The sequence below is a fragment of the Homo sapiens genome, chromosome 17 (assembly GCF_000001405.40).
Source record: "Homo sapiens chromosome 17, GRCh38.p14 Primary Assembly".
In the NCBI taxonomy this organism is placed as follows: domain Eukaryota; kingdom Metazoa; phylum Chordata; class Mammalia; order Primates; family Hominidae; genus Homo; species Homo sapiens.
In genome coordinates this window covers 60741031-60753852 of record NC_000017.11, presented here as the reverse complement: position 1 = coordinate 60753852, position 12822 = coordinate 60741031, and the positions used below count along the sequence as shown (strand labels likewise).

The following is a 12822-nucleotide window of genomic DNA, read 5'->3' as shown; positions in this document are numbered from 1 at the left end:
TTCCAAAAAGCTAAGATTATAGTAACAGAAATTCCATAATAAAACAGAAATTTTGTCCAAAATCTATGAAAATCAGAGACTGGCAAGGAAGAACTACTTCCTGACCATCAACAATATGGAAAATGTAATAAAATAAGAAGACGCGGCAGAGCGTGGTGGCTCATGCCTCTAATCCCAGCACTTTGGGAGGCCGAGGCAGGCAGATCACGAGGTCAGGTGATCGAGACCATCCTGGCTAACATGGTGAAGCCCCGTCCCTACTAAAAATACAAAAAATTAGATGGGCGTGGTGGCAGGCGCCTGTAGTCCCAGCTACTCGGGAGGTTGAGGCAGGAGAATGGCGGGAACCCGGGAGGCAGAGCTTGCAGTGAGTGGAGGTCGAGCCACTGCACTCCAGCCTGGGTGACAGAGCAAGACTCCGTCTCTAAATAAATAAATAAATAAATAAATAAATAAATAAATAAATAAAATAAGAGACAAATAACAACAAAATAAAATTTTAATTAAACTTTCAAGAAAAGTCATGATTTAAAGTTAGGCATAATAAAATACAGAAGGATTTTCTTAGTATGAAACTAAAGATTAATAATAACCTAGTAAAGGGCTCAAATCAATGAGAAAGAATATAAACAAGTGTGATATTAATGAATATAAATAGCAAAAATATGAGGATTTTCTATCTTCCCTAGTAATCAAGGATCAAAAAATTACATATGGGTACAATGGGTCACATCTGTAATCCCAGCACTGGGAGGCTGAGATGGGAGAATTGTTTGAGGCCAGGGGTTCAAGACTAGCCTGGGCAACATGGCAAGACCTCACTCTACAAAAAATTTAAAAATTAGCCAGGCATGCTGACGTGTGCCTGTAGTCCTAGGTATTCAGGAGGCTGTGGTGGGAAGATTGCTTGAGCCTAGGAGTTTGAGGCTTCAGTGAGCTAGGATCACACCACTGCATCCCAGCCTGGGCCACAAAGTGAGACTGTCTCTAAAAATAAACACTTTCAAGTTACATATGAATAGGATTTTCTGCCATCCAGACAGGCAAAGATTGAAAAGATTCATAATAACCAGTATAGGACAGAATAAGGAGAAATGGGATTCTCATGTATAAATGTTGGTAGACTCTCTCTAAGAGGAAATTTTACAGCATGCATCAAAATTGAAATACACAAGGCCGAGGCAGGCGGATCACGCAGTCAGGAGATCAAGACCATCCTGGCTAACATGGTGAAACCCCGTCTCTACTAAAAATACAAAAAATTAGCCAGGCATGGTGGAGGGCGCCTGTAGTCTCAGCTACTCGGGAGGCTGAGGCAGGAGAATGGCATGAACCTAGCAGACGGAGCTTGCAGTGAGCCAAGATCGCGCCACTGCACTCCAGCCTGGGCGACAGAGTGAGACTCTGTCTCAAAAAAAGAAAAAAAAAAATGAAATACACATGTGAGCAATTCCCCATTAGGAGTTACCCTTAAAAAAAAATTCCTTGTATACTTTTTTAAATGTACATATACGGAAGTATATAACAACATAACCAACTGGGAAAAAACAATATAAATACCCATACAATACAATGTTACATAATTTTTAGCAATAATAAAATAAATACCTAAGTTCTGAAATAAAACAATGTTCACTATAAATCGTTATGAAAAATATTACACTTACACACACACACACACACACACACACACACACCCTTCAGCCAATACATGTAATACATATAAACAAACTGAATCAGTCCTGGGACATAATAATATAAGTTAGTGTTATGCATGTGTGAATAGTTAAGGGGAAAAAAACTAGAAATATATGCTGTTAATATGGGCCTTTGGTACAATGCTCAATATCTGAGGAAGGATGAAAAGGAAGAAGCAGTCAGATTTACCTTTGCTAACACAGACTCACATAAATTTTCATTTCCCACATTTGAGTATTACTTGATTTTTTTAATAATCAATATTTTCAGTGGTTAGAATTACATGGTCCTTACTTTAAGAAATTAAAAACAGTCTGGGCGCAGTGGCTCACACCTGTAATCCCAGCACTTTGGAAGGCCGAGGCAGGTGGATCACCTGAGGTCAGGAGTTCGAGACCAGCCTGACAAATATGGAGAAACCCTGTCTCTACTAAAATTACAAAAACTAGTCGGGTGTGGTGGCACATGCCTATAATCCCAGCTACTCGGGAGGCTGAGGCAGGAGAATCGCTTAAACCCAGAAGATGGAGGTTGTGGTGAGCCTAGATTGCACCATTGCACTCCAGCCTGGGCAACAAGAGTGAAACTCCATCTCAAAAAAAAAAAAAAAAAGAAAAAGAAAAAAAAGAAACAAATTAAAAACATATTAAAGGAAGTGAAAGTCTCTTTTTTACTTGTATATTAAAATATACATACTGATACATTTTATTACAAAAGTGAGGTACTAAAAGCCAAAATGGCTACTTAAAGTAATGAATAAGAAAAATTTATTACTTGGAATTAAGTTCTGGAAGGACAGATTTGAAAGATAATTAGTAACAGTTTTTATCTGAGATAATACCAATTAATTAGTCATAGCTTTCTGGAATATTGTATTGAAAAAAATCCTAAAGCAGATCTAGGTTCATTAAGAAAATAATCAATTATTATTGATAGTGGCCATGAAGAAGCAGGGATGCATAAGCTGTGTTGACATGAGTAAATGCCCATTAAATACAATGATGGTCTTCTGTGGGATATGAAGACATCCAAATCCTTCAGTTTCTCACTTTTAGTTAGGGGACAGGCTTTCTACAGAAATACCTTTAGAAAGGGGATTCACTTTTTCTTCCACGTCTTAAATTGCAAAGTATTATACAATCCAGCAACATTCAACAAATATTTATTAATACCTTGTATAAAGCACTCTGTGAGACACTGAATACATAAAAACAGCCTGCAAATGTAGCAAACAAGAGGCAAATGAACAATTAAAGAACATTAAGTCCTATGGGAGCATGCACTACTGACAGTGGATAAGGAACAAGAAGGGTTAGAAGGACATAAGTATTCTAGAAGAGGAAATAACAAAAGCAGACCTGAAAGCAGGAAGATGGGTCTTTTGAGGAAATAAAAGAAATTCAGTACAACTATCACAAGGGAATGTTGTTGTGATGACTAGTGAGGGGGACAGGGTAAGGATGGCAGAATGTGATGCTGGAAAAATGCACAGGAAGGGATTCAGTTCACAAAAGATTTACAGAACCTTCTATGCAGCAGCACTGCTAAATTCACTGATTAATTCTAACTATTTGTTGGTTCTATTGCATTTTCTATGTACACAATCATGTTATCGATGAATAACGACACTTTCATATCCTTCTTTCTAATCTTTATGTCTTTTATTTTTTTTTCTTGCCTTATTGTAATGGCTAGGAACTACAATAAATAGAAGTGGTGACAGAAGTCATCCTGAACTCAGCAGGAAAGCATTCAATATATCAACACTGAGTATGATGCTTGGTATACATTTTTAAAGCAGATAACTTTTATCATATTCAGAAAATTTTTTTTCTATTCCTAGTTTGCTAAAACTTTTCTTTTTTAAATCATAAATGGCTACTGAGATTTGGCAAAGTTTTCTTCTACTTCTATTGAGATGATCATACAGGTTTTCTTCTTCACTCTAATACAGTAAATTACATGGATTAATTTTCTTTTTTTTTTTTGAGATGGAGTCTCACACTGTCACCCTGACTGGAATGCAATGGTGCTACCTCGGCTCACTGCAACCTCTGCCTCCCAAGTTCAAACAATTCTCCTGCTTCACCCTCCCGAGTAGCTGGAATAACAGGCACTGGCCACCATGCTCGGCTAATTTTTTGTATTTTTAGTAGAGACGAGGTTTCACTATGTTGGCCACTCTGGTCTCGAACTCCTGACCTCATGATCCACCTGCCTCAGCCTCCCAAAGTGCTGGGATTACAGGCATGAACCACCGTGCCCATCCCATTGATTAATTTTCAAATGTTAGCCAACATTGTATTCCTGGAATAAATCTTACTTTGTCCTGATGTATAATTCTTTTTATATGTCATTGGATTCTATTTGCTACTTATTTGTATGTAAAGTATACCAAGAAAGAAGAAAGGGAGGGAAAGAAGAAAGAAGGGAGGAGGGTATTAGATATGAGAAGTATAGGATAAGAAAAACATAACAGCAGAAAATAATTGTTCAATAGAAGTAATAGTAAGCCACACTGGAACTATCTCAAAAAAAGAATAAGAAAGAAATTAATTTTAAAAAATTAACCAGTACAAGGGATTTAACACCCAGATAATACAAGTTATAGAAAGAGTGAACAATGAAAACTCAATGGAAGAAATCAACAACAAAAATTGAAGCCATTTCATCAAAATACCAGACTTGCATTTCCAAATTAAAACGGTCCAGGAAAATGTGTGAATCAAGACACAAAGCTGCAAAGTCTCAGAACATTGGGAACAAAGCCAACATTGTATGGATTTCCAGAAAGTAAAACAAGCCACAAAGAAAAAGGTATCAAAATGGCCTCAGACTCTTCAACATAATGTTACACCAATGCCTTCGAAATTCTGAAGTAACATTCTTATAAACACGTATTTGTTATCCAGCCAAACAATCAATCAAGAGTGAAGGAAGAATAAAGACAGACAATATCTCCCACACATCCTTTTTCAGAAAGCTACATATTCCACCATAACGAATTAAAGCAAAATGGGTAAAAGAGAAAAGTGGGTATTACTCTTTTCCATTACAAGTTTTATGTGATCATTTGCACGTATAACTTTGGGGGAAAAAAATCTAAAAGGCTGCTCCGAAGGTAGTGAGTTCTTGATTGTTTACAGTCAGTTACTGATGGAACTCCTTGTTCTACTTTTTCCCCCCTTCTCACTACTGCACTCGACTAGTCTTTTTTAAAAATCTAAAAAATTAATCAAATACAATAAAAGCTACACAAGTAATTTGTTCAAATCATAACAGAAAACTTACCCATATAAAATTACATTTTAAATCTAACAATATGTTTTTAAATAAATACATTATAGTGAAGGAAGGAATCTTTTTTTAAGAGGAAAGTAAATTAAATCTACTTCTAAATAAAATATTAGCAATATTAATTAGATATTTTCAAGACATATTTCTGCCTTAAAAGTTGAGAAAAGATGAACATTGATAATACACATAAACAAAATAACTTCATAAATAACATGAAGAGGGAAAAATCTGCGTCTGTGAATTACACACAGAGAAACAGCAGAGCCCTTTAGTAATAAAGTCCTCCTTGATTCCAGCCATCCAAAGAGAAAGCTGGCTATTCCAAAACCCTTCTAGAAAAGGACGGTCTAGAATCTTCATTATCAAAATATTTCACCAAAGTACAAATGCAACAAAAAACAGAACAAGAGAGAGAGTGACAGAGCATGAGAGAGCGAGAGACAGCACAATCAATTGTGTGAGAAAGAAACAGAGAGACAGCTAAAGAGCTGAAATCAGAATATGCCATAGAGTTGAATAGCAAGGGAGAAAATCTACATGTGACTGCAAGATACTGTTGCTTGTTTCCTCCACCCTCCTCATTTCATTTAGGCAGATTTAGTTGCTAAATTAATCCCTAAATTATTTACACACAATCACAATGTCATAAGTTTTCAAAAACATCTTTCTCACAAATTTAGAGGATTAGCTGCTACAAGAAGTCTTATAAGATTTTTTTCACTTCTGGTAACTTTTTAAAATATAATAGAATTAAAATATTTTAATATCCTCTTTTTAAGAAGATTTTAAAGTATCCAAACATGATTATTATGATTATGTTTTCACTGTACATGCAAAAACATGCTTGAGTGAACACAGGAAAGGTAATGAGAGAATAACACCTTTGGAAAACTCAAAGTATTAAGGAGTCAGGCGTTATTTAGCCATCTAAACAGCAAGTTTAATACAAACACATATTTGAATTTTTTAAATAAATATAAAACATATATATTATTTAAACACAACATTAAGAAGTATTCTCTATTAAAGCAGAATTGCAAGCTTAAAAGCCCAAAACTCCACTTCTGACATAGCTGTAGATGCAGACAGTAGAGTCATCTACAGCCCAGAGAAAAGTGAAAACCAAGCTCTCCATGGCATAAGTATAACTGAGAAGGAGGGCAAAGGCATGAGAACAATAGAGACTTGAGGAATACCCACAGAAGAAAGCTAAGCCAGAAACATAACAAAGGCGGCACAGTCAGCCAGGAAGGGATCTGGGAAGAAGGATGCCATGAAAACCAAGAGAGAAAAAGGGCTTCAAGAAAGAGCCAGCAAAGGCAGAGGCTAAATCGAGATCAAAGAGGATGAAGATAAATCAAAACCACAGCAGAAAGTGAATGGCCATATTGAATTGGTTAAGATTACCTATTTCCATCTCAACTGACAGAACTAAGTTTATCTTTGGGGGAGGTGGGGAAGGGGAATGGACACTTGGAGGAAAACAGACTTTAGTTATCATTCTTGCTGCCTGTAGTCCAAGACCAACAAAAGAGAAACTCTTTTCTGAAAGATTCTTTTCTTAAGGACTACACTCACCAAACTGTGGAGCAGGCAAGATTCTAGCCGCTCGAATTGGGCCATGTCGAACAGAGAAGAGCTCTTGTGCTTCACCACTGATCTGCATAAGAGAAGAAAGAAAATATTTCAGTGGGAAAATGAAGGTCACAACAGTATTATATAAAAACAAGATCTTCTAAATTTTATAACAATATTTTGTCTGAAATATATATACATACACCCACACCCATTTATCATTGGTCATACATGTTAAGTATATTCATATCTTAAATTACTGCAAGTAATTTTAGAAAACTGTAAGAGCACACACTTGATATGAACAGAAAAAAAGGGTCTGTTCTGGAAGTCTATAATTTTTATCTTATTAAACCATTAGAAATCTGTACAGTTCCTGCACAACTGCCTTCTTTGAGAACAAAACAACTGTAATACTACTCTGAAAATCTCACCTTAAATATTATAGCAACTTTAACAAATATGTTGTAAATGAGAAAAAGCAATACTTATTGCAAAGAACACGTAGGTGAAATGTGAATAACTTAGGTATACTTATGGTTAGGCAACTAATTGTCTGTTAACCTTGAGTAAATCATGTAACCTCAATAAGCCTATATTCTTTCACAATCATAAAACGAAAAGGAAAAGCTGCTAAAAAAAGCTGCCAGGATACTTCTAATTTCAATATTCTATGAACAAAAAATTCTATATATATATACAACTTTTAAAAGTCATCATTTTTATTATACACATAAATATACACATAGCTCAAACATTATGAATATCCAAGCACTTTCAGTCATTCATTCTATTAATTCAAAAGGTAAAGGGTATGTTCAGGACATTTTGTGGGGGATAAAAATTTTTTTAAAAGAAGAACAAAAGGTAAAGAGGCATGGTAATATGTGTTGAGTGTGAAAACAACTGCTTTTCAAACTGCTCATTGAAGCACTGAGCAGATTAAATTATAGTTAAGAATAGCTTTCTTATTTCCATCTCAACTGACAGAACTACGAGTTTATCTTTGGAGGAGGTGGGGAAGGGGAATGGACAGATTAAATTACTGTACGTGGTACTGTAGTTCTTAAACCATTTTCATAATTGCCTAGTGTTTGATGAAATATGCACTATCAGAGAAAATGGCAAACATTATAAAACTAGTTCAAGATACAAAAGAACTTACAACCAATGTAATAAAGATATAAATTCAATAGAGGAAACATACTGATGGTATTTTTTTAAATAACTGCCTGCCATACAAGCAGTTTAAAATATCAAAGATGTATACATGATAAAATTAGAAGTGTATAAATCTTACAATATTACTATAAATCTACAGAGCTCTCTTTTAGAGTAACTACTTTTTTAGATTTTCAGCTTCTATCTGAATTTAAGAGCTGCAAACTACAAATATTTTTGTTTCTTAAAATGTTAAGTTGTGATAACGCCTAAATGACTATCACATTCATTTTGCTTATGATAATTACTACAAATTATTTATTAGCAAGAAATCCTTCTGTAGCACTTGGGATGCAGATGTGAAGAATGCTAGGACTAACTGTGCAACAATAGCACCACCTATCACCAATGAAACACGTAAAAGCTATAAACTCATTATTCCAAACTATAAGAACTTATTTACTCTACAAATTCCTTTGTAACTTTTAATTTTCAGAATAAAAACCATGGCCATTATAGTCCACATTTTATTATTATAGAACAAAATTTAAAATTTAGAAAAAGTCTTCAAAGGTTATTTGTTCAACTTCCCCTGCAATGTAGTATCGTACATTCTCTGAAATCTAAAAATTACAGTCTTTTTTATTTTAAGCATATATATGCTAAAAGGTGTAACACTAATGTAATCTAATTATATTACAGATGTGTTATTGGCTATTTCCACCTACCTTTTAAAATTTTAACAATAGCCAAAAGAATAAAAACACTGCCAAGCCATTTACATTTTAAAAATAAATTATTGTAACAGATAAGTGTTACCCAATATACCTGCTATTTCTATTAATAAAATAAAAAATATATTTTAAAATAATACCATAGAACTTACATTGAAATTATATTTCAAGTAATGAAAAATACTTCTCACTTTACACTTATAATAAATTATAGTATTCTAAAACAAAATCCACCACTCTGTACTATTATTTGCATATGCCAGTTCTAGTATTTAGCTTTTGGTCCTATCAAATAAAACCTTTATGTTAAAGAAGTGTAACCATATTTAAATGAGCTGCTGTACTCAATTATTCAAAAAAAAAGAATAAAACAAATCTGTCTTAGCATACTCACAATATAAAAGTTTGCTATCATTGTATTTAATACACAAGAGCTTATTCTGACATCAAAAAACATTTTGAAACCTGAATATACAACACTTTTCAGCAAAACAGCTTTCAAAACAAACCTAAATGCCCTATTCTAAGCTTGTATCTTAAATCCCTCCTTACACATAAGGCAATGGGTGAGGGGAGGAAAAAAACATTTGGACTGATTTTAAAATGCATCCCCACATTCACTGTCCATTCTTCATTACCTCTATGGTCCTAGGATCTGTGTTTAATTATAACTCGGGGGTGGGGGTTGGGGGGAGCAGAGGAAACATTGTGTCACATTTATAGATATTTCTGAATATATTAAAATCAGGATTGTACAACCTACTGAAATTAGAAGCATAATTCTAAACTATCCTATGTGAGTCACAAAATGTCAAACTTCCTCGAGGAGAGAACTCTCCAAATAGTCTGTGGGAATTCTACATTAGAGTACCATTTCAGAACAGAAACAGAGTTAAGGTTTATACAGATATGATCCATACGTTTTAGAAAGGACACACAGAGGATGGTTAGTCTTTACAGATTCTGCTTTAGCTATCTTTCTGAATAATAATTTTATACATTATGTCCACTGATAATTTTGCCTTCAAATAAGTGCCAAAACTGATTTTTTATAAGGCTGTCAAGAGTGATTTTTTAGGTTTTAAGAAAAGAGCTCATTAAAAATGGCAGAGATAAGGATTTTCTAGATCCTGAAAAGAAGTATACTAAACTGTAAGTTCACTTTTAAACCAACAATAGCAATAAATACAAGAGTAGAACTACAAGGAAAGAGAGTCCAAGCAGTATTCCAACTTCCTGGCAACTGTGGTAACTTGGGGAGAAGAGCGAACAGGGAGAAAGCCTCTCCAACAGCTCCTCATGGTCTCTGCCTTTGTTCTTACTGGCATTTTAATTTCTGATGACAGACTTTTGTTGTTTGGGGCATAAACCGGACGTACCAGTTTGGAGGCACAATAAGGAGAACAAAGAATGATTTGTTCACACTGTAGGAAAAAAAATCTTTTCCAACCATAGAAAATAGCTTTCGCATGGTGAAAATATGCAAATTACATACCAAACCAAAAAAGGGGTGGGGGTAGTACAAGTTTAGAATCTCACAACTCGATCTAAGGCAAAAGGAAATTACAACAGCTAAGACAATAATATACACACAGAAAAGGCTACACAAGTTCTGGGAGAGCTGTAGAAGTGCTTTTAGAGAATTCTGAAAGCAAATGAAGGTTATCTTGCCCTCAGAATCAAACTTATTTCTAAACTTCTGATGACTTTTCATAGACCAATTATAATATAGAAAATTCAAATACCAAAAGACAATAAAAATACTGCTTTATAATGCTGCATTATTAGGACAAGAGTACACATTCACAACCCCACTTTCCCCTATAGATACTGGTTAAATGGATGTTTGTGGTCCACAAATGATTTTTTTTTTTTTTAGCAAACTTTATCAAGAGGTAACAAACACAGAAAAAATACATACATCCTAAGTATATGTATAACATGAATTTTAAATGTTAACGTACCTCTGAACCAAAAGACATCAAGAAACAGAATATTATGGATACTCAGAAGGTCCTGCTACATCTCTTTTCAGTCATAATCCCAACTCAAGAGTGGCCATAACTACAATCCTGATTTCTATTACTTTAAGTTCTACTTGTTCATCTTAATGTAAATGGGTTCCCACAATATGTACCCTTGGGAATGGCTTCTTTCACACATTACTATGCTTATGAAATTAATTCATGTTGTTGCATGGAATTGTAGTTTTATATGTATTGCTATATAGATTTCCATTGTATGAAAATATTACAAATTTTTTTTTTTTTTTTTTGAGAAGGAGTCTCGCTCTGTCACCCAGGCTGGAGTGCAGTGGCGCGATCTTGGCTCACTGCAAGCTCCACCTCCTGGGTTCACGCCATTCTCCTGCCTCAGCCTCCCAAGTAGCTGGGACTACAGGCACGTGCCACCATGCCCGGCTAATTTTTTGTATTTTTAGTAGAGACGGGGTTTCACTGTGTTAGCCAGGATGGTCTCAATCTCCTGACCTCATGATCTGCCCACCTCGGCCTCCCAAAGTGCTGGGATTACAGGCGTGAGCCACCGTGCCTGGCCGAAAATATTACAATTTTATCCATTGTACTACTGTTCATGGACCTCTGAGTTGTTTTTACTTTTTTACTTCTAGTTTTTAGCTCTTAAGATGTCAAGGAGGCCAGGCACAGTAGCTCATGCCTTATAATCCCAACACTTTGGGAGGCCAAGGTGGGTGGAACACTTGAGGTCATGAGTTCGAGACCAGCCTGGCCAACATGGTGAAAAGCTGTCTCTACCAAAAATACAAAAATTAGCCGGGCATGGTGGCACACACCTGTAGTCCCAGCTACTCGGGAGGCTGAGGTGGGAAGATTGCTTGAACCCAGGAGGCGGAAGTTGCAGTGAGCTGAGATTGCACCATTGCACTCCAGCCTAGGCAACAGAGCAAGACTCAGTCTCAAAAAAAAAAAAAAAAAAAAAAAAGATGTCAAGGAAAATTGTGAAAGATTTTGAAATGCTGAATAGATTACTTTGTGTTCTGTGTTTTTTCTATGGATTACCAAGAGCTCTCTAGCAGACCCTTTGGGGTTATCTGATTCTATAGGGGATCCACACTTTGTCTTTGACTGGGCTACTGTACAATACTCTGAGCTGTCAAAAACTGATAGTAATGCAATTGATTCTTGTGCACAGAAATGCAAATGAATTTTGTCTGGTAGAGATACAAGTGAATTCCACTCTGTAGAAAAGATTATTCCAAACAGTACATTTTAGTGCCCAACAGAATATTAACCAAGCTTGTATCTATTAGAAAATTTATTTCAGTATTCCTAATTGCTTCTCTGTGATATTCACCTTCTTCTTGGAACCAGCTATAATAACATCCCAAATCCCTAATCAATGAGTTAAAAAAAATGCAGGATATCTGTCCCTTATATAGTTGTATGAGATCACTGTTTTACCATTTTGAAAACAACATAATAAAGAATATTGATGTAAACATTCTCACAAATGTCTTTTAGTAAACATGTATATGTATTTCTCTTGGATATATATCTAGTAGAGTAACTACTTCTGTATATTAGGGCAGGCACATGTGTATCTTTTGTAGATTTAATTTTCCAATGTGATTGTACCAATTTACACTTCCACCAGCAACGTACAAGAGTTCTATCTGCTCCACATCCTAGCCAATATTTAGTGTCAGCCATTCTGGTAGGTGTCCAAAAATTATGGATTTAAATCAATAGATGCATGGTAACTGAAATGCATAAATCAGTCTCCAATGGATATGTAATGCTGCCTCAAAGTAAATATATAAATAATTAGTCTTTATTATAATGGCCCTCCATGAGGGCAGATGATGTAAGACTTTTGTCCTGAAGGACCACAGATAGGTATGATAGTACAGGATATTAATGAGATTCAAGGACTCGATTAAGCAGCTCTTGGAATAAGTAGAGTTTTTTTGTACATAATGAAATTCATATCTTAATTCCAAATACAATAATGACCAATCCTTCCCTCAAACTAAGGTGCAATGATTAGGTTCTAGCAACACAATGTCCTTCGAAGCTGAAATACACTGATTTGTGAACATTCAGACTTTCAGTTTCCAGGCCAACACATGCAGCTCAGAAGACTTCACTTAGATCTGACCACAGGTAAAAAGCTGAACAGCTCTTCTTACATCCGTCAGAAAAATGACGTCATAGAGCAAACTGCTGCCCCAAAAATTGGAGAGACAAACAGGCAGATACAGAGAATCACAATTTACCAGGGCAGAAATCCACAAGCGAGAACCTCAGGACTCAGTACCAAGGTAGGAACACCTAAACTGTGATTGACAAATTTCTAGAGGTTCAATGTGGACAAGACA

At 35.3% G+C, this 12822-nt stretch overlaps 1 protein-coding gene across 8 annotated transcripts in view; it reads right to left on the bottom strand.

The window, feature by feature from the left end:
- The window catches only part of BCAS3 (BCAS3 microtubule associated cell migration factor), a 714981-nt gene that overhangs the window by 638979 nt on the left and 63180 nt on the right, over positions 1–12822 (bottom strand). For all 8 annotated transcript variants that reach the window (NM_001353144.2, NM_001353145.2, NM_001330413.2 and 5 more), the window contains exon 6: positions 6574–6655. In NM_001353144.2, the coding sequence (NP_001340073.1) occupies positions 6574–6655 (82 nt within the window). The remainder of the gene's footprint in view (positions 1–6573; positions 6656–12822) is intronic.